This window comes from Homo sapiens, chromosome 6 (genome assembly GCF_000001405.40).
Source record: "Homo sapiens chromosome 6, GRCh38.p14 Primary Assembly".
In the NCBI taxonomy this organism is placed as follows: domain Eukaryota; kingdom Metazoa; phylum Chordata; class Mammalia; order Primates; family Hominidae; genus Homo; species Homo sapiens.
Window position 1 is genome coordinate 138209832 of NC_000006.12, and position 27611 is coordinate 138237442.

The following is a 27611-nucleotide window of genomic DNA, read 5'->3' on the forward strand; positions in this document are numbered from 1 at the left end:
CAATCCATAATAAGATACAACCAAATAAGGCAGCAGGGGAGAGCCTATCTGTGATCACTGCCTTGTGCCTCTTTACAGAAGCTTCTGTCGGAAGAGAGGTTTGTATCCATGGAAACAGATTCTGATGAGAAGCAGCTGCTCAATCAGATACTGAATGCCGTGAAAGTGACGCCTTCGCTCAACGAGGACCTGCAGGTGGAAGTGATGAAGGTTGGTTTGACGTGGCCAAGAGTGTGCGTCACTGGGACAGGAACACATCCTGATCCCCTGCACTTGTTATCTGAAAATGCCTCTGCGTTGTGGTCATGCTAGCTCATCTTCATTTGGAACGGATGCTTGTTATTCTTGCTCATGGTCCCCCTAAATTACCCTGATGGTTTAACATCAAAAGGGACAATTTCAATCAATCCTTGAGATATTTGGCCTTGTTCTGCATTAAAGGCCATTAGAAAGTGTATTTGTAATCTTTTAAGAGAATGTATGTGAGTAGTTCCAGCGTGGGGTAGATCTGATTATTCTGGGTATTCTGCCTGCTCGCATATGTTAAAACAAAGCAATAATAATAATGTTTTGATATATACTGAGATTTCAGAATGGTCAGTTTAGGGACAGAAAGACCACAGTTGGGAGGCATGTCAGAATACACATCTTTTTTTTTTTCTCCTTCAAATTATATGAAACTTACCTCTTTCATTCCAAGTACCGCCTTCCTTTTAGGGATAGCATCTCTCCCTCCTGCTTTCCCTTTCTTTTAAGAATCACCATGATTGGGGGTCCGTTATGCTGACCAGAGTGTGTCATATTCTCTGAGTGAATGGTGAGTTGGGCAGAAAGGACAGAAACTCTGCCCCGTAACAGCACCTTGGTCATGGTAACACAGCAGGAACCAACAAGAAAGCTTTTAATAATGTATTCTGTCCTTTTCCTCTCTCGGGGAACATATGTTGAGAAATATTCAGGAATAGTTGGTGTCATCCCATGGTGGATTTCTTCCTGGAAATGCACTGAAGGATTTTTGTCTTGGATAAGAGACTACACTTCTCCTGGTTTCAGTTTCTCCATTCAGAAAAGATTGACTGCAGTCATGACATTCTCTTGATGTCCTGGGCCTCACCCTAACCCTGTTGGTGGGTAGTTCAGGTGATGATTAAGAGCTCAAACTCTGAAGCCAGCCTGTCTGGGTTTCAATTCTTATTCTTCCACTTCCTAGCAGAATGTCCTTGGACAGATGCCTCAGTCACTCTACCTTGATTTCCTTGTGTGTAAAATGGGGGCAATAGTAGGACCCACCCAATAGGATTGTTTTGAGAATTAAATAAGGTGACATTTGTAAAGAACATAGCACAGTATCTGGCACAAAGCTAGTGCTTTAGAAATGTTATATATCACTACTTGTACCACTACTGCCTCCTGCTGCTGAATCAGAATCTCAGCGGATGGGAGTAGGAATGTGCAGCTTTCACTAGCATCCCAACTGATTCTTAAACACAATGAACATGATGATGCCTGAGCTAGCTGATCTTTAGGATCTCATTCATCTTTAACTCTCTTTGATTCTGGGATGTACAGTTTTGCCTTATCCTTTCAGTTTGGCAGCTGTGCATTCTTAGGAACCACAGAGTGACCCCTTCTAGCTTTGTTTGACTTCTCCACTGTATCTGTGCCACTCCTGAAAAAGAGGCAAGACCAACTGCCACGCTAATCACTTTTGTAACTTCAAAGTGCAACCTGTGAATCTTTCTTCTTCTATTAGGGCTCCAAATACTGGAGAGTGAGCTTTGGTGTCATACTAAGAGATGCAAGTCAGATTACATATTATTCTGGAAATTCTCCCAGGAATAGTTTTTGTGGAATACAGAAATTTGTATTAAAAATTAAAATGAGGAAGTACCCATTCTTCTAGGAGCTATGCACAAGCAGAACGTTTAATGGTTATGTCAACAGTCGCACCTATTTTGAAAACTTGTACTTGCTTTCTGATTCCATCCCGCCCAGCAGTGCCTTCTGCTAGCCTTGCCGAAGATAGGAGTTGACACAGGTTAACTCCACCAGAAATCGTGGAAAGCCTCTTAATGGACTCTCCAATGACACCATTATAAACCTTGATACTTTTAGTTAATGTCTGGGAGGAAAGTCAGACACTGTCAGAAAAAAGAAAAACAATGAATCTGTCAGTCTTTACAATGAGATTTCCAAAATGCTTAAAAAGATAAGGGCCTTTGTTACATGCTATTATTTTTTTAATTGACAGATAACATAGTATGCTTTATCATGTACAACATGATTTTGAAGTCTGTATACATTGTGGAATGCTTAAATCTAGCTAATTAACAAATGCATTATGTCACATAGTTATCACTTTTGTGGTGACAGCACATAATAGCCACTGTTTACATTTTTCAAGAATATATTGTCAGCTGGGCATTTGACTCATGCCTGTAATCCCCGCAATTTGGGAGGCCAAGGCAGGGGGATGGCTTGAGCCCAGAAGTTTGAGACCAGCCTGGGCAACATGGCGAAACCACATCTCTACAAAAAAATAAAAAAAGTTAATGTAGAGAAATAGGAACGCTTTTACACTGTTGGTGGGAGTGTAAATTAGTTCAACCATTGTGGAAGACAGTGTGGCAATTCCTCAAGGACCTAGAACCAGAAATACCATTTGACCCAGCTATCCCATTATCCCATTACTGGATATATACCCAAAGGATTATAAATCATGCTACTATAAAGACACATGCACACATATGTTTATTGCGGCACTATTCACAATAGCAAAGACTTGGAACCAACCCATATGTCCATCAATGATAGACTGGATTAAGAAAATATGGCACATATACACTATGGAATACTATGCAGCCATAAAAAAGGATGAGTTCATGTCCTTTGCAGGGACATGGATGAAGCTGAAAACCATCATTCTCAGCAAACTATCACAAGGACAGAAAACCAAACACCACATGTTCTCACTTATAGGTGGGAATTGAACAATGAGAACACTTGGACACAAGGCGGGGAACATCACACACCAGGGCCTGTTGTGGGGAGGGATAGCATTAGGAGAAATAACTAATGTAAATGATGAGTTGATGGGTGCAGCAAACCAACATGGCACATGTATACCTATGTAAGAAACCTTCAATTGTGTACGTGTACCCTAGAACTTAAAGTATAATTAAAAAAATACCGCACGCCTGTAATCCCAGCACTTTGGGAGGTCGAGGTGGGGGGCTCACGAGGTCAGGAGATTGAGACCATCCTGGCTAACATGGTGAAACCCCTTCTCTACTAAAAATACAAAAAATTAGCCGGGCATGGTGGCGGGTGCCTGTGGTCCCAGCTACTCAGGAGGCTGAGGCAGGAGAATGGCATGAATCCGGGAGGCAGAGCTTATAGTGAGCTGAGATCGTGCCACTGCACTCCAGCCTGGGCGACAGAGCGAGACTCCATCTCAAAAAAAAAAAAAAAAAAATTTAGCAGGGCATTGGTGGTGTGAGCCTGTAGTGCCAGCTGCTTGGGTTGCTGAGGCTGGAAAATTGCTTGAACCTAGGAGGCAGATGTTGCCGTGAGCCGAGATCGTACCACTGCTCTGTAGCCAGCAGAGTAAGACCCTGTCTCAAAAAAAAAAATATTGTCACTAAATATAGTCATCTTGCTATACAGTAGAGCTCCTAAAATTTATTCCTCCAACTTAACTATAACTGTGGATGAACCCAAAAGATATTATGTTAAATAAAATAAACCAGGCACAGAAAGACAAATACCATGATTTCACTCACATGTGGAATCGAAAAAAGTTGATCTCACGGAAGTAGAGAGTAAGATAATGATTGCTGGAGACTGGGGTGCTTAGAAGGGAGGGGTGATGGGGAGATGATAGGAAACATACCATTATTTTTAACTATTTAAATATTAGGATTGGGGAAAAATATTTCAGTTCACAACAAACCTAGCCTGAAGTTAATTTTTTGAAGTATACTTTTTGATAAACATTTTGGCCAAGCTGCTAGAAAATTAATGACAAGATAACTATACTTTGGGTAATGTTGTTATTAACATCAAATAAAACTTGATGGTAACCTGACTTTGATAGGTCACAAGTGAGGGCTCCATAATCATTTGCTATTTCTGAGATTGAAAATACTTGTTTTGGTATAGAGATTGGTTCACAGTGTAGACTTTCTGGCTTAGAATAATAAGTTTTATCCCTCTTCTCTCTGAATGAGGAATTTCTATATCAACTTTTTAATAATCTCCAGAAGCCAACACCCTTTATCTTATAATTCGGTAATACTTGTAATGATCCAGGTAAAGCCTCTTAAATAAGTCCTTGTTTTGCTAATACCATTACTGTATTAAATGCTTTTACTGTATTCTCCCAAAAATTATAGAAGAGAGAATTAGATGAGTCCCCAGAGAAAAGACTGGATTTCCATTACATCTGAAGGGTATGTTAATTTAGTCTTGGCACTTCTACATGACTCATTCTGATGATAAATTATTTAAGAAATTTCCTATAAAAATCTTCCAGTCATTTTATATAAGTATTTTGTAGGCACAGAAAACCTTTTAAAACAAGATATGGTGGACATCTTCAAATGTTGGTCTGGATATGCTATTCAGGAGGGATAAGGCCACACCATGCAGTTTTTATTTGTCTGTCCGACCACAGCATAGCACGTTGTTATAACGGATCCTAGGTGTTATTTTTTAGAAGTTAGATCATGCGTTTTATTCACATATTGGTATCTGTTAGTGCTTATAAACATGGAAGATTGAACCATGTCACACTCTAAAGTGTATGGAACAATTGTATTAAATTTCTGGAAAGAAAATAATATAGTTTCCTTTTTGTAGAGATTTCTCCAAGATTAAACAGAAACGGGCCAATAATGAAATCCAATATTCCAAGGATAGTATTCTCATTTAGAAAGAAGACTTTCAATCAGAGGGTTAAAAAAAATCAGTGAAGCCTGCTTCTGACAAATAGGAATGAGGTTAAATCACTTAGTCTAGGAACTATTCTACATGGTTTTACTATTTAACAGGAAGGGGAGAAAAGGCAAGTTTGATTTATTGAAATGGCTATGGAACCCAAAGAAAAGTTTTACAGCTTGAGCAAACAATAAATGGTCAGAACTGTACAGAATCAGAAAGAGGCTCTGAAGATAGATTACCTTGGAAATGGATTAGTAGACTATTGAATATTTAGGTTAAATACTTGTCTGCTTTGGCAACATTTTCCTATGGTGTGTGCTATTTCCATAAATGCCAGGCAGATTGTATAGGAGCCATGTACGGATCTAATGACTTCTCTGACGAGAGTAGTTAGGACTTGTTTCCCTTCTTTCTGATGGATAACCTTTAGTGAGGTTATTAACTGATACAGCTGGCTGAGTCTTCAAAGGCTGCCGAATGGAATTATGGCTGGCTGTTCGCCTCTGTAAGCATGTGGGAGATGTGGGCATCCTATCTGGGGAGGGCAGGCTGGCTTTGGCGATAAGGAAGGAGATGATGCTGGACACTGAGAGAGCATTTGATGAATATTCTATTACTGGGTGTCTTTTTTATGTGCATTTTTAGATAATAGAAGTGAATATTCGTAGAGTGCTTTGCAATTTTTAAAGGAGAAATGACAGGGGCTTATCATTTAACATTTTTTATGCACCAGACATATTGATACTAAGGTCACACAGCTAGTGAAATGACCAGGGCAGTATTCAGCCTGGAGTTAAACCTGTGCTCTTAAGTGGTGGGTTACCTTGCCTGCCAAGTCTATCCTGAGAGGCTTGTGGGTGCTAGTCACTGCTATTCTTCTTGTGTAGATGATGGAGCAGAAAAGCCAAGTCACAGGCTAAGGAGGGGTAAAACTAGGAGTGGCTCAGAGTCCTGTGTGGTTTCTGTGTCTTCCCGTGATAATGATATTCCCTCACTAGTCCTGTGAGCTAAATTCACATATGAAGAAGGAATCTAAGTGTCTTTTCCACTAAGTTAGCTAATCGGTCTGGTGTGTGTGTGTGTGTGTGTGTGTGTGTGTGTGTGTGTGTGTGTGTGAAAGAGAGAGAGAGAGAGAGAGAGTGTTGGGGAAAGGGAAAGAGTGTAATTTACCATTGGTTTTTTGGTTTTTTGGTTTTTTGTTGTTGTTGTTTTTTTTTTTGGGTGGGGGGGAGTTTTACTCCTGTTGCCCAGGCTGGAGTGCAATAGTGCAATCTCAGCTCACCGCAACCTCCACCTTCCGGGTTCAAGCAATTCTCCGCCTCAGCCTCCTGAGTAGCTGGGATTACAGGCATGTGCCACCACGCCCGGCTAATTTTTTGTGTTTTTAGTAGAGATGGGGGTTCCACCATGCTGGTCAGGCTGGTCTCGAACTCCCGACCTCAGGTGATCCACCCACCTCCCAAAGTGCTGGGATTACAGGCGTGAGCCACCGTGCCTGGCCGGGGTATTTTTATATAACAAACGCCTAGTAAACATCTATAGAAAATACACAGATGAGTGAATCGTGGACAGAGTTTACTATTTGTATGGCTGGTAGTCCTAAGCTTCAGGGTGTCCAATTAGAGTTCTGGTATTACAAAGTGGAAGGGAGTGTGCTTTTAAATTATGTATCAGTACTGTCGTCAGTGCCTTGGTCTGGGAGCAAGAAACACGACAAAGGAAGAAAGACTGTTTGAGTCCCCTCTCGGTAATGTTTTAATGGCAGAGTCTTACACTTGGGAAGTTTCTTCAGATGGTTAGTTTTGATGTTCTTAACTCGGGGCATTTGGTCTTCTAGAGTTCCTTTTGGAAAGAATGTGATCATTAGTGAAGTTTGAGAGTGAAATGGCTAATTTGTCTTGCTGCTTATAACAGGGAGAAATCTCTTCTTAGCCTGAAGCCATTGAGACCCTTCAGAAGATTTGTAGCAATCTCTAGCGTTAAGGAAAAATCCAATGTTTGATGAAAAATATTTAACTCCTGAATGTGTCGTTGTTGGAGGTTGATCTAACAAGTTTGCAAACATATTGTTTGTGCAGTTAATGCAGGGAAGTGTCTAAAATATGTGGTTCTGCTAAGTAAATGGTTCTCAAACAGCCTTCCCTCTTCCTGCTCATAAGGTTGAGTGATGAGAATCTTTTTCTACTTTGCAAACAGACTAATATAATTCTTACTGAGTTTTCCTCCCATCTTTCTTTACCCTTTGATATGACTGCCTTCAGCAGATGGTAAAAATATATGAAAAAGTAATGAACAAACATTGAAAGCCTGGAGATGTGATTTTCCTTTAAATAGTTTATGCATTATTTTTGAGATGGAGATTTTCATATTATCTATTAATATCTTTTTAAAGCACCACCATTTCCAAGTGTTTACTATATTTCAAAATCACTCTACTAAGTGTCTTTAAACTTTTCTCACATAATCTTAATTTAAGCGCATATAAATGCAGAGGCCCTCATCACTTACTCTGGATGTTCTATAGATCCAAACAGAATGGGAAAGTTCTCTGATTTTTTAATCATTTATTCAGCAAATATTTGATTGTTTTCTATGTGTCAGGCACTGTGCTGGGCACAGAAGATCCCATAGTGAAGAAAACAAAACCAAAGAAAAACACAATCTGTGTTTGGAGGCCAATGATAGAGTCAGAAATCAATTAAATATATAAATACACTAGTCCCCACTTATCCAAAGTTTCACTTTCCTTGGTTTCCATTACACATTGTAATGTCTCCTCAACTCTTGACTCAGGCATGACTTGAACATTTCACTAGTTACTAAGCGAAAATTAGTGGTATACTATAAGTATTGTTTTTATCCCTCTGGTGCCTAGCGGAGCATCTGGCACATGGCTTACTAATTGCTCGTTAGTTTAGTTATTGACTAATGGAGAGACAGAAACACATGTGGTAGTTTTTAATGGCCCACTAGGATAAATAACAAACTAAATTGAGATAATAGATAATAATCTATGAGTTCAAGATTGAGAAAGATCAACATGGGTTTGTATTTTAGAATTGAAATAACCTCCTACATCATCAAATTCTTTTCATAAGTAAATTGAAGTTGGAATGGTTCAGTTACTTGGCTGGGCTTAAACAGTCATTGGTAGCAGAATTGCCTTTTCAACCATTTTTATTTTTCTGGAAAGGCTTTGCAGCAGGGCTGAGAGTTTATATGATCTGTGGATGTATAGTTTTGGATAAGTAGAGAAGACAGCATTCCAGACCTAGGGTCTGAGTTAACTGCAAAGTCAATGTGAATAATATGGCTTCTGAAGATAATGAGGAACATTTCATTGAGGAACCTTTCATGGTCAAGTGTGTCTGCAAGGGTGTGAGAATTGCATGGTGTGACTGTTCTATGGAATAATCAATGAACTCTGTTGCCTTTTGACTTCTTTTTACTTTTTCTTTTTTTCGAAATACCTTGTAGCAGAATGGTAAGAGCACAGTTTCTGGAGCTAGAATGCCTGGTAGCCTTGGGAAGTTACTTAATCTGTGCCTCAATTTTCTGATCTGTAAAATGTGAATAATATTGTGCATATCCTCATATTTCTGGTTCCTTAAGAAGGCCCTCATATTTACTACTGTAAATTGAATTGTAGCTCTGTAGCATAGAAGAATAATTTTGTAAATTATTATACATCAATTAGCCACCTCGATATATTTAAGGTCCTAACCATCAGCCATGATTCCACAATCTAAGGAAAACACCCACTCTTTAGCTGAGCCAATGTTTCTGTTCCATCCTACGAGGTAGAGTTTTATGATTTGATTATTCCAGAAGAGCTCTGTAATTATTGTTTCAGATGTAGAGAATCAGGTTGGCTGTAGCCCTTTAACAACCCTATCTTGAGGAGCTTGCTTGGTCAGGTCTATAAGTATAAACAATAAAACTATCAAAAGTTCTGTGTTTGTATGGGCAGAGACAATTTGAGATGAGGCTCTCATTCTGCAGAGAGTCTGAGAGGGAAAGAGAAAAGGAAGGAGTGAGGGTGTTATCTGGGGCATACCAATGAAATTTGACTTCTTAAAAACCCAGCTGTGAGATTAAGTCAAAATCTGCTTGTTACAGATTAAACTTGAAAAAATAAGTCGTGGAACTTTTAAATTTGTTGCTTTTTTAGACCTTTTTTTATTGATTTATTAAGGAAATATATTTTTGTTGCCAACAGTGCATAAAACTATATAGGATTAAAAACAAAATATTCAAAGGCAAGGGTTTATAATTCAGTAGGAAAGCAATAAAGAGGCAGCCAATTACCACAATTCAAGGTAGCTGTGTATGTTTAATCAGGAGAAGAGTTCAGGAGGCACATTCAGGAGGAAGAAGCATGTTTAGCAGGGCAGAACATCCTTTTAAGGAGGGGATACTATTTGAGTTGGACTTTGAAAGGTAGGTGGGATTCAGATAATTATGTTGGGAGAGAGGGCATTCTTGGTAGAGAAAAAAAGTCCTGGGGATGGAAACTGAGATTAGTGAGGGATAGTGGACGATGAGCCTGAAAGGGTGGTTGAAGAGGCTCTAGAGGGCCTGCTCTCTGTAAGCAGGCAAGTGATCCAGACAGAGCTGGGTGTTAAACATGGAAGGTGAGGAGGGGGAGGATGGGTTTGCAGGATGATTCAGGAATCAGCAGAACCAAGTCTTTGGCATCGTGAAATATCTTATTGGAAGAGGCTGAGCCAGAGGTACCAGGACTTAATCCAGGTAGGTGGCAGTAGGAAGGGGCCACCTGGGCTGAATGCAGAAAGGTGTGGCTGAGTGCACTGACCTGGTTTGCAGAATAAGGAGCAGCTGGTGACTGGCAGTGACATGGGCAGTGAGTAGGTAGGAGAGGGAAAGCCCAAGTTGCCTGCAGGACTCACAGCCAGAGTTTCTGGTTGAGTGATGGTCTTACGGGACTAATTTAAGAGATAGAGACTGAGTTCATATTATCAGGTCTCAATATTTATATTTAAATTTTGACATAGATGTGCGTGTGTGTGTGTGTGTGTGTAGAATATTTTAAAAGATGAATTTAAAGAAGTGCTAGTAGTTTAACATTATGGGCATTCCAAAAGAGAAAAAGTTAATTGTAAATCCCATCATGTTGACTGATTCTTGTATACTGATTTCTCATCATATCTACTTATGTGTTTATAGTTATATTCATTGTGTGTATAGGATTTTTTTTCTTTTATCTTCTCTTTTCTTTTCCTTTTCCTTTCTTTTTTTCTGCAGGGTTTCACTGTCACCCAGGCTAGAGCTCAGTGATGCAATCACGCAATCACAGCTCACTGCAGCCTTGACCTCCAGGTCTCAGGTGATCCTCCAACCTCAGCCTACTGGGTGCGCCACTATGCTCAACCAATTTTTGTATTTCTTTTGTAGAGACAAGGTTTTGCCATGTTTCCCAGGCTGGTCTCGAACTCCTGTGTTCAAACAATCTATCTGCCTTGGCCTCCCGAAGTGCTAGGATTATAGGTGTGAGCCACTGCAGCCAACCTATTTCTTGCTTTATACTTTAAATCATAAGCATTTTCCACATGGTTCTCTCTATATATCTATATATATGTAGTCCTTTAAGTACAGTTTTAATGTTAGCATAATTAAGAATTTTTTATTTTTATTTTTCTATTATTTCCATTGTATTTATTGCCAATACAGAATACTTCCTGTATGTTCTGGATGAAAGAGAAATCTGTAGGCTGCCCTAAGCAACTATCTGTAATTTATATCTTTACTTCTATGAGAAAATGCATCCTGCATTCTACTGAAATTTTAGGCTAGAGTCTATTTCTAAAACATGAACTACTTGTACAATGGAACAAAAAAATAAGTCTTTTCCACTCAACCTTTGGGTGCAAGTTCTAATACACTTGCTGGTCTTCATGTCTAATATACTTGCTAGAAGGACATCGACTCAGCCCTTCCACAGTAATTTCTTTTTCCCATCTTAATCACATATTATCATCCAGCAGTAATCAACACGTAACTGACCAATCCAGTTTGTTCTCCATAAGGGTTGGAATTAGTAGATCTCATCTTGACCAACTAAATTGCCTTGCCATATAAACACAGCTGAATCTCCTAGAATTCACTTGAAATAGTAAAGCAAGTTCATATTCTAAAATAAATATGGTTGAGACTATGCCTCATGTATCGGAAACCACCCCAAAATGCAGTAGGCAGTTCAGGCTGGGCTCGGCTGTCCTGTTCTTTTGCTGATCCCAGCTGTGCTTGCTCATACATCTTCGGTCAGTTGGTGGCTTGGCTGGGGCTGGCTGACTTACAATTGCTGCATCAGGTCCAGGTGGGAAGATTGGTACCTCTTTCTATAAGGTCTTTCATTTTCTAGCATGGCAGGTTATCTACATGGTGGCAGTGGCAGGGAAAATTGAGGAACTCAGAGGCCCCAAGTGTTTTGGGGGTTTGGTTTGTTTGCTTGCTGATGTCCCATTGGTCATTTCAAGCTAATGGTCACTCCACACCTCATATTTAAAAGGTGGGGAAATAGATTCTGTTTCTTGATGGGGATATCTACAGGGGTAATTAAGAATTTTAGAACAAGAAATGTTTAGCTGTTTACCATATTACAGCCTTAGTGAGGTTGATGTGATTTTCATGGAATTGAACAAAAGAAATTATTTGGTCTAATATGTCAATATTTATTTGTGATGTTTAGAAACTGAAATTAAGGATTACAACCTGGGGAAAATGTTGACTCTAGAAATAGATTTGTGAGTCCTCTAGTTAGAGATGACAGTTATAAGACTTGGCCAGGGGAGAAGGTTTAGAAGGGAGAAGAAAATATAAATAATGAACAGATTATTTGTTCAAGTGAATTAGCTAAATTAATTATAACTAATATTTATATATTTTTTCTGTGACTATCACTGTTACAGTATTTCCTAGAATTCAGTGCTAAGGGCATATCTGATGAATATCAATAACTTATTTCTAGTGGCAATCAATAAAGGCCAGAAAAGAACCCGTGACATGACCATAAACCAATGAGGAATTTGAAAGATTTTCCACCTTGAGTATTTAGGAGCTCTAGCAAAATCTGTTGACTAAAAAATCTCTCAGAATAGCTGTTTGCCAGAAATTTGGCAAGTTGAGCCAGAGAGTGATTTGGTTGATAACCTGCTAATAGTGGTAGATGTTTTATGAAATAAAATAACAATGCATTTTCTTAGGGTCAAAAATAAAGATTGAGGTTGTAGCCCAGCTACTTGTTGTGACCTCTAATCCACAGTCTCTGAAGCAAAGGGAAGGATCAGTGGCTCATCCTAGTTCTTCTCTGGAAGTCCTAGATTCTAGCTGTCAGCCTTTTGGAGTTGGAACAGTGTTGTAGAGCAGGGGCTTCCAATCTTTTAGCTTCCCTGAGCCACATCGGAAGAAGAATTGTCTCAGGCCACACATAAAATACACTAACACTACCGATAGCTGATGAGCTTAAAAAAAAATTGCAAAACAAACTTATAATGTTTTAAGAAAGTTTACGAATTTGTGTTGGGCCACATTCAAAGCTGTCCTGGCCTACATGTGCCCCGTGGGCCGCAGGGTTGGACAAGCTTGTTGGTAGAAGTTCTGAGTTATGTCTACAAGGCATGTGGGACAGAAATGAATGAAACAGTAGTTCTCAGGTGGGAGCAATTTTGTCCTCAGGGGACGTTTAGCAATTCCTGGAGGCATCTTCACTTGTCACAACTGGCAGTGGGAAGGAGGAGCTGGGGGAATGGGGGTATTGCCACTGCCATCTATTGGGTAGAAGCCAAGGATGCTGCTACATATCCTACAATGAGCAGGACAGTCCTGCCGACAAAAGGAATTATTTTGTCTAACATGCGAATAGTGCTGAGATTGAAAAACCTTGATCAAAGTAAGAAAAAAGGTTTGTCTTTGTCATCAACATTTTATTTTTTTAAAAAACTTCAATAGCTTTAGGGGTACAAGTGGCTTTTGGTTGCATGGACAAATTGTGTAGTGGTAAAGTATGAGATTTAGTGAACATGTCGCTTGGGGAGTGTACCTTGTACCTCATATATAGTTTTTTATCCCTCATCCTCCTCCCTCCCCCATTCTGAGTCTCCAGTGTCTATTATACCACTCTGTGACATCCATAATTTAAATTGAAGTAAGAAAATGTCCTCTGAAAATTCCTTGTTTACTCTGTGACTCCATCCCTCCCTCACTCCAAAGACAAACATTCTGCCATTTTGCGAACTTCAGAAGACTAAGTCTGCTTTGTTGTTTGTGCCTGAACCATGAGGGAAAAAAATCTCTGTTGACATTTCATGGTCGAGGTACACTTTCAGCAATGAACACTCCATTTGGCTGGGCATGTGGAAGGCAGCACACCCTTCACCCCATAGAAGGGCATTTGGTGTCTCAGTATTCCTGTGCTTGTCACTGAATTTTCTGTTCTTGCTGCCGAATTTGACAGTAAAAAAAGAACTGGAGTGTTTCTAAAGAGAAGGAATTATGCAATAATTTTTAACTTTATGAAGTTTAAAGCCAATCTACATGAGAGGCCAGAAGGAAATGTGTGTTAAGCAACAAAGCTAAATTCTCAGCCAGAGCCAGAGTCTGGCTTTGAAATGCGCCTGGCATTAAGGTTTTCACCATACACCAAGAGAGAAAAATGCAAGGCCTTCTGTGGGCTGTACTTTTTGGAGCCCTAACTAGCTTATTTTGTTTGGTTTGATTTATAAATAACATCTGATATTTTGAAAAATGAAACCACAGTTCCCCCCAAGAAGGAGTTGTGTGTTAATTAAGATAATTTTTAACAGTTTAAGAAAAAGGAAAAATAATTTCTTGTTCATTCAATATGCCCTCATGCCCACCATATGGCATAGGGGTAGGTTGACTCCCCAAAATCAGCTCACATTTTGATGGTACCCTTTTCTTTTCCCCTAGGTTTAATTTATTATATGTGTTATAACGTGAAATTTAGAGTTCCATGAAAGGATGAATACAGCATTACACCTTGTGTATCATGTGTTGGACCATGGCATGACTTCCCAGAGGACACTGCATTTTCCCATTCAGAATGTTCATTACAGCTTATTGTAATTTTTTATTTTATGACCATCTTCATACCAGATGTTAGCTCTGCAAGATAAGAGATTATCTTATTTGTTCACTGCTGTGTGTCCAACAACTACGCTGGATGTGGCCTCTAGCAACACCTCAGCAGATATTTGTTGAGTGAATGAATAGGAGCCTGAATAATCCAGCACACAGGTAGGTGTAGTGTGGCCATGGAGCTGCTCTCTCATCACTTTAGGAATCACTTCTTTACTCCTGAATCCCCTGGAAATGGTCCTGCAGAGGGCTCTGTTGGAACCTTGATAGAAATGAGCTCTTCAACTCATAAATCCTATACAAGTTACCATTTATGATGGAGAGTGCAGAAGATAGATAGGTTCTCAGCAGAGCATAATGGGAAATATCAGAAATGTCTCATGGGAGATGCTTTCTGGTTAAACTAGAGATGATTTTCTCCCCATCCACAGCGAGGTCCTGCCAGATTAGTGTAATTTGGTAATCCCTCATTCAGGATTACCAAATTATAATTTCCCTAACTAGATCACCTGAAACTCCAGTGTTACCTTACTTGGTTACAAAAACTGCCTTTCACCAGTCAGGCCACCTGGATCTGACATTCAGGTGCCCAGAACAGTTTTCTTCCATACCACCAGGGCTGTTTTACTACATTGTCTACACATTTTACAATAATGAGTAGGCACATAGATGCACAGTTCCACTGAAACTGTGAGGCTGACCATTCATCTGGACATCTTATAGAAGGTATTGAGCATGGGCCAAGGCCCAGCTGCTCCTAGCACCTCCCAGGGCCCAGCAAGGTGCTGTAAACATGGCAGGCATCACAAAAGGTAAATCTTACTACTAAGAAGCTGAGAAATCCAATGGTGTGTGTGTGTGCGTGTATGTGTGTAAGTATACAGATTTAAGTAGTGTATCTAAACTGTTCCAAATAAGTGCTATAGGAATAAGTGTTTTGAGTTGTCTGCCCATTCTGTAGCATTAAATATTTTATATTATGCAATTTGAGCAAATTATATTTCTGTTCTCCAAAGCATGTTACTTCATTAATATATAATATAAAGCTTTGTAAAATATGTGGGAATGGTGGGGTATGAGAGATTTCAGCCAGGTTGACTAGGACAGTAGGGGTTGGTGGGAGGGCAGTGGTAGGATGGTACCCAGGTTTCAAACACAGGTGACCATTGCCTTCCACTCTCCCTGCATCTTTTTTCCAAATGCGCAACAGTCAATTCATTGCCACGGGAACAACTAGGATCTGTCTTCGACATCATCTAGATCTTATTAAGTGCCTGTTTTCTCTCTCTGACTTCCAATTTGCCCTAGTTTATCTCCTTTTAGTTATAATTTATTGGCCTGACCAGCCCTAATATGTGTGAAACACTTAACATAAGGCATTTAAATTGACATCCAGTAAAGTTCCAACTGATCTTTCCAGCATCATCCCTGGCCTCTGCTTTCACACTTCCATGCCTTGCTCATGACACTTCCTTAGGTTGGTGCATCTTTCCCTCCCTTTTCTCTCCAGTGTTGGCGCTTTGTTCACATGTCCTCTTATCTGCAAAGTCTGTCTTCTCCAAAGTTATTGTGTCTTCTAGCCTTCTAAATTATTATATACCTCACAATTGCAAAAGCACTTATCACAGTCAGCCTTGAAGAACAGTTGCAGGCATTCATTTCTCCAATAGACGGTGCGAGTTTTTTTGATGTCAAAGACTGTGCTTCCTTTATGTTTGTAATCCCACAATTAGAACCTTAGTGAATAATGACTGGAATTGAATCGTAGCCTAAAAGGGAGGACAGAAGGAAGAAAGTGGAGCTGGATCAGAAAAATGAGAACTTGTGGCATTGATAAGACATGGAGTGAAAAACCAAAGGTTCTATGCTTTTCAATGTGGATTATCTGATATTTCTAATATTTTTTTTTACTTGAAATAAGCCTAATCATCTATGTTGGAATAGCTACCATGAACTACATCAAATGAGACTTGTGTAGCTTCTGTGAGAAGACAGGCTTAAAGGTCTGTCTCATCTGCACTATTTCTTTAAACATTCATTTAATTTATTTGTTCCTGTAACTATCCTTGGGAGGTGGGATGGGAATTTTAAAGGTAAAGGGCTAGAGGACATAGACAAAGTCACACACCAATTAAACACCAAATCACATGCATGATCATGTCTCATTTGTGGCCCTGACATCACAGCCTCTGCTCTGCCCTGATCATGGTCGCTGGACAGGGTGTGCCTGACAGAGAAACCCCCGATCATGACCAGGACATGTCCTTGGGAGAGGATTAATTCAGGATGTTCTTAAAAGAGCACATCTGCGATTCTGTGCTCATCATCATTATCTGTCCACATCCATCCCTCTCTCATATTAACGTGACCACATTTTCTGGATTGTTGTCACTTGTGCCAAAATCTTGCAATAAATCAGCTTTGCTTTCTCCTTTCAAGTCTAATTCTAATTTTTTTTCCCTAAACCCAGGGTTTCTGTACACATTTTAAATTGAGGGATTGCTTCTTGCATATAGTAGCTATTCAATTATCTGGGACTTTTATTAGCCATTGTAATGATTTTTCCCTTTTCATGGAAAGCTTTGCCCCTGTTTTCCCTATTTTCCTTGTGGCTCATTTATGGAGGCAGTTTCTGCAAGCTGGTGTAGATTGCAGGACGCTGCCCATCACTCAAGTTCCTGCTGTTCCATGGTAATTTAGTCAATATGCTTTAATGACCCTGTGAAGGATATATTTTTAATAAAATTGCCCTCAATATTTAGCTGCTTCTGTTTTCCATGGGGCCAGCGTGCTCAGAATGTTAATCTAAACTTGTTGCCCTCTCATTATGCAATGGAAGTCAGATGATTTCAATTTGTTATTGCCCTAAATTTTCTACCCCTAGTCTGTGTTTTAATCCGGCGAATTAATACATGCTAAGCATTGGGAGCATCAACAATTTCAATAAGTCATTTTTATCTGCTGCATCATCCTGGCTAGATGCTCTGCCCTTAATACATCTTGTGAGTCCCAGGAGGGCATGGACACCATCAGCCCTGTAATTAAAATCTGCTGTGCTTTTCATGCAACAAACTGCATGAGCTTAAGGAACTGGCTCCGTTAATGTGCTTTACTTTCCTTTCATTATTTCCTGCTGTTTTCAGGGTTGATTTTGTTTTTTTTTTTTCCATATAGCTCAGTGAGTCTTTGACTATTGGTGGCCAGACATTAGGTGTGGAAAGCCTTCCTTCCAACATCTTGTGAACATGGTCAGCATTGGCTGGGGGCCTGGGTGCAGGTATCCTCAGCTTCTGTGGACTGTTGTTGCAGGGAGGTCTCCCTCTACATATGCTGGGCTTCCCTGAAACACAGGGAGTCAAGCTTCCTGCATTCCCCTGAGAATCTTGATTACCAATACTGCTAACTCAACACCCTTACGAAGACCTCACCATGGGAACTGCTCCTGCTTCCAACCGCTGCTCCGAAAAGCAGCTCTTGCTCACAGAAAACTGGGTCAAGTTTCAAACACTTCTTCCTAAACCTACCTTTGTGTACCTTATATGAACTCACAGAGCCACGGAAGGCAGAAAGTTGATCGTCAGTCCTATAAGCAATGTTAATAATTAACCAGTGAGGACAAATATTTGCCATCATTATTTTCATATCGTAAAGTGGTGCCAGTCTTTATTGTCAATACTTAAAAAATCAAGAGCCCAGAGGGACCAAGTGGCCTCTGCTGGCCACCACCAACTCAGACTCCCCGCCCCCCGCCATGAAACATGGCACTAAAAATAAAAAACCTCAGAGTAAGAAAGCATCATGTGACAATGTCCTGAGGGCCTTTCACAGGCTCCACGGATGGTATAGTCTAATGAGAAGATTGCAAATAAGCAAACAAGTCATTTATGAGACTGATGTCTGCTCTGAAGTAAATGAAACAAGGAGATGTGATACTGAGTACTTTAGAGAGGGGGATCTGGGAATGTCTGTCTGAGGGGGCGACATCTAAGACTGGAAAGAAGCCAATCAAGCCACGTGGCAAAACAAATAGAGGAGGAGCCAAGGACAGGGCTTTTCAGCCATGGGACCACCACTGTGTACTTACAGGGGCCTGGAAGACATAGCCTCCCTCCAAGCCCAGGGTAGGTCCTGGTGACCCCACTGTCCTCAGCTTTCATCCCTCCCTACCTACCAAATCCCAGTTCCCAAAGATTGTCATGAAACAAAAGAAAGCTATTTCCCATGAGGCCAAGAGGCAGTTGCTACCCAATCCCTTTTTCTCAATCGCCATGGCACTGAGACAATTTTTTTTTTTTTTTTTTTTTTGAGATGGAGTCTCACTCTGTCACCCAGGCTGGAGTGAAACAGTGTGATCTCGGTTCACTGCAACCTCCGCCTCCCGGGTTCAAGTGATTCTCCTGCCTCAGCCTCCCGGATAGCTGGGATTACAGGCAACCACCACCACACCTGGATAATTTTTTTTTTTTTTTGTATTTTTAGTAGAGATGGGGTTTTGCCATGTTGCCCAGGCTGGTCTCGAACTCCTAATCTCAAGTGATCCGCCCACCTCAGCTTTGCAAAGTGCTGGGATTACAGGTGTGAGCCACTGTGCCCAGCCAACTGAGCTGATTTTTATTTGGTGTTGATTCTTGGATTAAGTCCCTTTAAGAATCAAAAGACTGAGGAGCACACCTGCAATTAATACCCACCCTTGTGACTAAATATGGCAAAAAAAAATCTTTTTTACCCCCCTTTAATTGCATACATACTTGCTTTCTCTGAAGGAGCGACTGTTCCTAGGGCCGGCCTAGCTGACAGCTAAGACTGAGAGATGGGGAGAGATTTCTTGTCACATCTGACAATTGCAGTTTCCTGTATTAAGTAAATTTGCTAGGCTTCCATGCTCCTTCATGAATTGAACAGATGAGAAAAATGCTCAGAAGACTGCCCCTGGCAGGCTAAGCTGCAGGCAGGGCATGGCTGTGGGGTTTGAGATCAAGGAGCAGACACCAGCACCTTTGTGTCTGTTTTCTGCAGCAAGAAAAGTCAGAGCTAAGTGAAGAGGGAGAGAGTAGCCTCTTACCTACAAATTGAGAAGCAGTTCTTAAAATGCCACAGGCTTTTATTGATCTGTTCCCTAAAGGCTCTACAAGTAGAAAGTGAAGTTTTTAGTGGTCCTTAAAGATCTTGCAAATGTCATTGACCTATTGTCTATGTATCTTGGAAAATAAGGGGAGTAAGTAAACACCATGTAACATTCTGGAGGAAATTGCAAGAGGGAAGAGGAAAATGCAATAAAAGAATTTCTAATTCCGTGTGGATTTGGGAAAGGGATAGGAATAGAAAATGACACTGACATTTGAGTTTCAGAAGAGGTGGAGATGGCTTTGCCTCGTGAGTGAGCACATGGAGTCGGATTACTTGAGTTCAACACTTGCCACCTGTATGACCTTAGGTAACATATTTAATCATGGAGTTCTAGTTTTCTCACCAGTAAAACGGGGGCAATAATAATGACACTTATTTAGAAGGTCAACCTAGATAATTCATGTGAAGTGCCTAGCATTAAGCCTGGCATTTTTAAAATGACTGCTACTAAACAACTCTTTTGAGGTTTTTGCTGTTACTGGACACACCTCCTGGAGCTGTTGAGAGATGCTGTTTCTGGCCAGTCTTGCAAGCCCTTTCCATGGGGAGAGATTAGCAGCCTTTATTTTTTACAGGATGGTCTCTACTTTGTTAGGCAACATGTGGCCACTAATGAGAAAGCAGTGGGTGGGATATAAAGAAATATTAGGTAAAGCAAATAGCAAAGGAATCATAAAAACAGGACTGCACAAATGGCATATGAAACAACAGTGAATTTCCATACTGTTAACCCCTTGTCTCTTCTTTCATCTCTCACCTTGTTAAAGGTTTTACTATGCATCACCTACACGCCAACATTTGATCTGAATGGGAGTGCCGTGCTGAAGATCGCGGAGGTGAGTACTGCTTGTGTCTGTGCCTCCTGTTCACAGCTGCTTTATCTCTGACTGGGATAAATATTGGGGTGGAACTAAGCCCCAGCACTGGAGTGAATCCTTCTCTGATTACTACCGTGGGGAATTTCCGCTAAGGAATTGATCTGTGGGAAGCGTGCTGTGTGGTGCGCCATCCTTAGTTGTAATGCCATGTGTCTCAGAGCCCTGCATGCTTACGTTTGCTTCACTTGAGGCCTTCACTATGTAAATAACAGTACTGGTTCCCCTTACCCTGCTCCACCCAGGCGTATTGCTTTCTCGGTCTAATTTGCCCACAATTCATTGAAAAGCATTTGATTTAAAAAAATAGTTTTTAAGAAACCAAGTAGGAGATTTAGAGAGATGTTTATAGATTAAATCCCCTCCCCATCTTCAAAACCCTGAAGAATGCCTATTGAAATGATCATTGAAAAGCCTTCTCATTTCAATCTGTATTGCAGCCCAGAGTAATGTGTGCCTTCCAGCATGCCCAAGAATATGTCCAACAGAAAACTTGGCTTCTTGAATGCCTGGCATATGTCTTTGGCTTTTGGAAACACTATCATTTCAAAGCTGAACTTTAATATGCTTGGAATAATTTCCCTTCCATTTCTTGAAAAGAATATCTACAGGATTTGTATGTTCTGATAAGAGTATACATTCAAACCACAAAGAGGAATGATTTTCTGAGTTCTGAAATGATGGAGAAAAAGGCTAATTATCAGCACTCATGGAGAGTACTTATATTAGCAGATACATGTGCTTTTTATGGTATCATGTGGTATTAAACAGTGAAAATTAAGAGAAAATTATTTTTGAGCGTGTAGAAAATTTTTATGTGACTGTCAAAAGAGAAAGCAGCAGCCAATCAGCTGACCTCTCATTACAATACAAGTCACTTTTAAAATATGGATTGATACAGATGGAAAGAACACTTTCCTTTAACACATTTGTATGTATACTCTGTATTTGTTTTATTTGCATTTGTTTTTAATTGAATTTTAAGAGAGCCCTGTGAGCTCTTTCATTATCTGCAGGTTCACTTTTCAAAAGACAGTGTTGTTTCTGAAAATAGCAAGAAGCAGGATTGGTGTGTAAGAGGCTTGTTAGCCCTTTGCCATGTGAAGGAAGAGAGGGGAGGTGTCAAGCCACTGCCCCTGCTGATGGAACTGGGGGGAAGGGGAGACAAGGAGCAGAGGGTCTTCAGGAGGAGAGGGCTGCCAGGGATTGAGGCTGTTAGTATCAACAACAACCAGGTTTTGAATGAGAGTCAGAATGATTGAAAATATAATTCCTGAATAATAGGCACACACCACCAAGTTCGGCACGAGTGAAGGGTGTTCACTGAGAGTATCTGGAAGCCAAAATAAAAAGACTCAGCAGGCCCGTCCAGATAGGATGCAACATTGAAACACTGTGGCCTCTTCCAAAATGAGGAAAGGAAAAACAACAACAACAGATCATAGCCAAAGAACAATATAATGATAAAGGCATTTGAGCTTGGTGGGAGAGAAAAATGGGCTCTGGAGTCATACTGCTTAGATATGAAGCCGGCTCTACACTGCCTAGTGGTGTTGCCTCGGATACCTGTCCCAGCCTCATGTTTGCTCTCTGTAGATGAAATGATAAGTGATACTGAGCTCATAGTGTGGTTGTGCTGATTAGACAAGAAAAATACAATCCATATAAAAAGCTTTTAGTGCAAGTCCAGCCACATGGTAAATGTGAAATGTTTGCCATTGCCACGTTTGAAATCGGGAAGCAATTTATAAAAGCACCTTAAAATAAACCATTTAAAACTCCTGTGGAAATGTAAAGAAGGAATCTAGATGTTCTCTTCCTGCTTACTTTTGTATACATTGACTATTACTCATGAATAGTGTTTATCCTGAAACCTGCTGATCAGGAAGTGGGATGTGTACTTAAGCATGAAAAATGAGGCTATTTCCCCAAGGTTCTGAAACTATAAAAGGATCATTAAGCTCTCAAAATGTAAATAAGAGGGCACCCTTCATTTGTGTATCTAAATTTAACTTGCTTAATTAAACTGCAATAATGAAAAGTTCTTAGAACAGCATCCTCTGTGACAGGAAGCATAAGAAATATTACCAAATATAAAAATGGACAATTATGAAATATCCAAGTGCTTTCTGTTCAATTTCATGAAATCATTACTAAAACTCCATGTGGATGCATAGCCCTTCTCTTCATTGATTGAAAGCTGAGCCCGATTTCTGTTAATATTAACCCCAGGGTAGCAGATATGTTGAGTTTTCCAAGGAAAGTTACCTTCATATAGGAAAAAGCTGTGGGAGCAGAAATTGCCAAGGTCTTGGAGTAAAAGAAAAAGGTGGGGCTGGGCACGGTGGCTCATGCCTGTAATCCCAGCACTTTGGGAGGCCGAGACAGGCGGATCACCTGAGGTTGAGAGTTCGAGACCAGCCTAACCAACATGGGGAAACCCCATCTCTACTAAAAATACAAATTAGCCAGGCGTGGTGGTGCATGCCTGTAATCCCAGCTACTCGGGAGGCTGAGGCAGAATTGGTTAAACCTGGGAGGCGGAGGCTGCAGTGAGCCTGTTCCATTGGAAAGGTTTTTTATACCTGCGGAAGGCTTCTCTGTGGGATTTCTCAAAAGCAGAAAGCCTGTTTCATAAATGAGTGTTTGCTGGTTTGATCTTATTGACTTATGGAAACTTCCAGTCTTTGATTCTGTAGCTTGCTATCAGGGTCAAGCAAAATCTGTCTCAAAGGCCATTGTTTTTTCCTCTAAGGTTCATAATTTCAGGGCATGAAAAACACCTTTTTTATTGTTATTCCTTCCATCCAGCCAGCCCTCCATTCTAATATACTGGTTAATAATAATAGCTACTAGTCACTGAGTGCCTAAGGCATGGCAATAAGTGGCATTTTACATGTATTCTCCTTTAATTTCTGCCACAACTAGATAAAGAATACAAGCAAAGTGAAGTTTGCTTGCTCAAGTTTCTACAGCTAGATATTCAAATCCAAACTTCTAATATTGCAAACATGTACTGTTAATCACTCTGCTATATTGCTCCCTGGCTCCCCCTCAGTCTTAGAGAATGTTAGCAGAATCTTGCCATAATAATATTGGCAACCAACTGAAGTGCTTAGGAGTCTTCCACCCTTGGACCTTTACCGAGGCATTTAGTTAGATAATTGTTCTATGGTGTTTTATATATATAAAGCTCAAGTGTTTATTCATTTCATTTTTTTGTGACCATAGATTCAAGTGGCCATAGGGAATATGTCACTTTTTCCAGTATATTTCCATATGGATAGTGTATCTTTTCTGAGCATTATATATAACACATCAGAGGATGGGAGGTTTGTAATAGTTTCACTTGTTGCCCTGGGGAGCTTGAAAAAACATTGACGCTCAACACCTGCCACCAACAGTTCTAATTTAACAGTTCTAGTTGTCACTAAAGTATTTTTTAGATTGGGCTGGTTTATAGCTCTTGAAATGTTCAGTGATACTTTTTTGGGGGGTGGGGGGAGATGGAGTCTCACTCTGTTGCCCAGGCTGGACTGCAGTGGCACAATCTCAGCTCACTGCAACCTACGCCTCCTGGGTTCAAGCGATTCTCCTGCCTCAGCCTCCCGAGTAGCTGGGATTACAGGCGCATGCCACCACACCTGGCTAGTTTTTTTGTATTTTTAGTAGAGTTGGGATTTCGCCTTATTGGCCAGGCTGGTCTCTAACTCCTGACCTCGTGATCCACCCGCCTCGGCCTCCCAAAGTGCTGGGATTACAGGTATGAGCCACCGTACCCGGCCAATACTTCTTTTACTCTGATATGATAGCATTATTTCTGAGACATACCTGAAATAAAATGTTCTACAATTAAGGAACAGATAGTCTCAGATATAATCCTGCAGAAAAGTACACAGATGCCTTGATCTATTTATCTCGGAAGCACCTTGTTATGTTATATTCTCTGCAAGACTGGGAGGAGTAACCCCACCTCCTGGCAAGAAAACTAGCCATGGAAGCAGGACCACGGCCTCAAACCAGTTGAGACCACTAGAGTGAGGAAATTGCAGTTCAAGGAGCTTCACTTTTCCTTCCTGAAACCCTTTCTTTCCTGTGTGCCAGTCTCTATTGATTCTGGTTTGACTCCTCTGAGGAGTCTGTTCTTTAGCTAGTTACTGCTAGATGGGCTTTGAGCACGTGCTTCTTTGGCAAGGAATTTCCATACCTCCCTTAAACCTCTTACTTGCATGGCTTGTGAAGAAGTTGTTTGGAGTTAGAAGACACACAGACCAGTGTCTCTGCTTCAGTTTGGACTGGTTCTCAGCCAACCTTCTGTAGACCAAGTAGATGGCACCTGGGAAGGTGCACGAATCGATGGGTTAAGGTGTCTTAAGCCATTTTAATATGCCAACTTAAGCCAAGAAGACCATAGAGGAGGAAGAGGCAAGTCACAATCAGATTTCTCCGGGTATGCCTGGCACTTTTAGAATTTATTTTTGAGTTGACATCCAAAAGGAAAACTAGCAAACTTCCCTACCTAACGTGGTGATCAGACTTAGACAGCTGTTTCCTAGAAATAATAAAACAACTTCAGTTCACCCCGTGTGTGTGTGTGTGTGTGTGTGTGGTGTGTGTTTGCATCAGCAGGACCCATTTGATGAGATGCCTCTTGCCACATACCTACCTGTTGACCTGTCTTAGGAAGGAGAGAATAAGGAATAGCCTGGCAACTGAGTTGTCAGCATGATTAATCATGAAACTTAGACTTACAGTGAGAGCCAAGATTTTCTCTGGTTCTAATGTGTTCAAGAAGCATTTATAGTCTTCCCTACATAGAAGACATTCCTTCTGCTTTTTTATAGCTTAATCTCTGATCCTTTCTATTTTTAATCACTGTAAATTATTTTTCATCCTTATAAAAGTTTCCCAGTTGAAAATATACTAGCTCACCTCTTTATGGAACTTACTAGTATTATATACGATTTTAACAAAGCAGTGCCAATAACCCCATTCAGATGGGAAAGAGAAGGTAATTGCACAGTTCAACAAAGTGAAGGTCATATGTATTTTATAAAACTAAGCACATTTTTATTGTGGCATCTTCTTTAATATTTGTGATCCCTTTGGCCAACATATATTGAAAAATATATGTATATATATAGCTACGTTCCACTGTGCTGCTTCATAATAAATACTTTAGTGATTTCTCCCTGGGTTTAACCTAGTATTGTTATCTATCAGTCTACTTACTCAGTGATGTAAAGCTTTTATTTCTTATGTATGGCCTGCAGACTTGTGTTTTCTTGTTCTTTTTCCTTCTACTTTTGGGGTTTATTTTGTATCATTAACCGTTTGTGTTTGCTCTCAGTTCTGTTTAGCATGTTATAAAGCTGGATGCTTACAAATCAGTGAAATGATCACAAAGTGTCCCTTATAATCTCCTCACTGCCCTGCATCTTTGTGTGTTCCCTGTGATCAGGTGCCTATAGGGCTTTTCACAGGGTATTTGACTTGGCCCTTTGAGCCTCTGGCAGAGGTGCAGGACTTAGGCTTTCCCAGTGTTGATTCTGCATAATGAAAGCAAAGAGCATGGGCAGGTAGAACCAATAATGGGCAGAATAAAAGAAGAAACTGATGAGCTCTGTCCCAGAAATTCAGCCTGCTTTTGGACATGGTATTCTCTTAGCTGCTATGATTCAGTGTGCTCATTTAGTACTGCCCTGAGGTAGAGGAAGAAAAACATTAAAAATAGTTGGTCTTGAATACAATGAACAGGTTTAAAAATGGAAGCTCTAGTTCTATGAATCTTACTAGTTTACCAATATATTATTACAGGAAGTGTAAGAAACTTTCCTTTAGAAGATGTCAAGATAGCTGAGAAAGCATTTCTTTCTGGGTACCTAAAGATAACCATGTCATCAAATACATGGTAATTTTTATATTTAATGGGATACCTTTTTGTCATATTCAGTCTTTACACTCCCAACTTCAGCCAAATGGGCTTCTTAAATTAATACTTTTTTTAGCTGAGTAAGCATGCTTACCTTTTCCCTGAATAAAATGCTTACTGCAATAAGTCATATCCAGTAGTATATGTATAGTATTAGCAACTAAACACTAAAAACAGTGCTGGCATTAAAACTAAAAAAAGAATACATTAGATATTTGGAAAGTTCTTGTCTGTTTACAGCACTGCGTTATATAAAATCCAGTTCCTCATGCATGCACTTTCTTTCATGAGTCTAAAGTGAATGATGTAATTTTTTAACAGAGATTGCATAGTGGTATGTTTCTCAGTATTCAAGAGAGTTTATATTAAGTGTGTAGTTCAGCTCTCAAAATAGCTCCTCTTTCATCTGTAATGCTTTTAAGGCTTAAAACTCCCCCATAAATTTAAAATGGCAGAGCTTATAGATCTTGAAGATCAACAGTTATAAAGATTTCTGGGGAAAATGTAAGATTTAAAGAAAACTGTTAAATTATGAAGTACAAATGATACACAATGGAGAGTTTGGCTTCATCAAAGTGAATCACTGCACTCATTTAGATGTATCTTCAAAGTTTTAAAACCATTTCATCGCATGCAAAAGTAGAAGCATTTCAGGGTTAAAACACCTTTCAGGGGGTAGGTAGGGTCTCTGTCACCCAGACTGGAGTGGCACAATATCACGGCTCCTTGTAGCCTCTACCTTCCCAGGCTGAGGTGATCCTCCCATGCCTGGAGCTGGGACTATAGGCGTGCACCACCATGCCCGGCTAATTTGTGTATTTTTTGTAGAGATGGGGTTTTGCCCCGTTGCGCCCAGGCAGATCTCAAACTCTTGGGCTCAAGCGATCCAGCCACCTCAGCCTCCCAAAGTGCTAGGATTACAGGTGTGAGCCACCACATCTAGCCTAAAACACCTTTTCTTTTCTAAGCATGCATAAATTATTGTATCTTCAAATCCACTATATCCATGGTTATTTGAGAAAATGAATTAAAAGTCACGTGCCCTAAATACTTTTATGAAAAATAAATACTTTATAACTTGCTTTTGCTTTTTAACTATGAAATTAATTAATCTAAGCCAACTTTCAAATGTAGGTTTGGGAGTTGTTGGGTTTTGTCGAGGTTGAGAAGACTGCCTTTTTTTTTTTTCAAATACAGTTTTCAGTTTCAAATGCTCCTTTGAAATATTAACATTCAATAGGAGATAAATTAAACTTAAAAAAAATTATGTTCACCTAGTTAATTCTGCTAGGTAAACATAGTGAGGCATGGCAGAAAGAAAAAGATAACATGAGGCCTGGCAGAAAATTCTCCAGCTTAAGCAGAAGCAGCAACAAAGATTAAAATGTAGTCTCTTGCCCATCTCAGTTGTCAATCATCAAATTAAATTTGCCATGTAGGTGAGAATCCTGGATTTTCATTGTAGATAATCTTGGAGCTCTTCCTAGAAAAATAATTTAGGAAATTAAACTCCTCTTTTTGTTTTCGTGTCTCTAAATATGCTTTGTAAAATTGAATGCCTTATGGAGAGAAAAAAAGTAGGCAAATTTACAGCATGCATTTTCGTGCCCATCCTGTAG

The 27611-nt window shown here is 40.1% G+C and overlaps 2 protein-coding genes across 4 annotated transcripts in view; one reads left to right on the forward strand and one right to left on the reverse strand.

The window, feature by feature from the left end:
• Positions 1-27611, forward strand: part of ARFGEF3 (ARFGEF family member 3) — a 182725-nt gene that overhangs the window by 47893 nt on the left and 107221 nt on the right. For 2 of the 3 annotated variants that reach the window (XR_001743524.2, NM_020340.5), the window contains exons 4-5: positions 79-210; positions 19953-20021. Coding sequence is in view for 1 of the 3 variants with exons in the window: in NM_020340.5 (NP_065073.3) it covers positions 79-210; positions 19953-20021 (201 nt within the window). In the remaining 2 variants the exon portion in view is untranslated. Of the gene's footprint in view, positions 1-78; positions 211-13891; positions 14218-19952; positions 20022-27611 lie in introns of those variants that run through there. The other variant, XM_047419108.1, reaches the window with a different exon arrangement.
• Positions 6155-8660, reverse strand: PBOV1 (prostate and breast cancer overexpressed 1). Its single transcript, NM_021635.3, has one exon. It carries the CDS (start codon positions 8562-8564, stop codon positions 8157-8159), a length of 408 nt encoding a protein of 135 aa, NP_067648.1. The 5' UTR covers positions 8565-8660; the 3' UTR covers positions 6155-8156.

Excerpts from the sequence above, each read along its gene's own strand:
- PBOV1 (NM_021635.3), bottom strand. The coding sequence starts at position 8,564 with ATGAGGGCCTTCTTAAGGAACCAGAAATATGAGGATATGCACAATATT.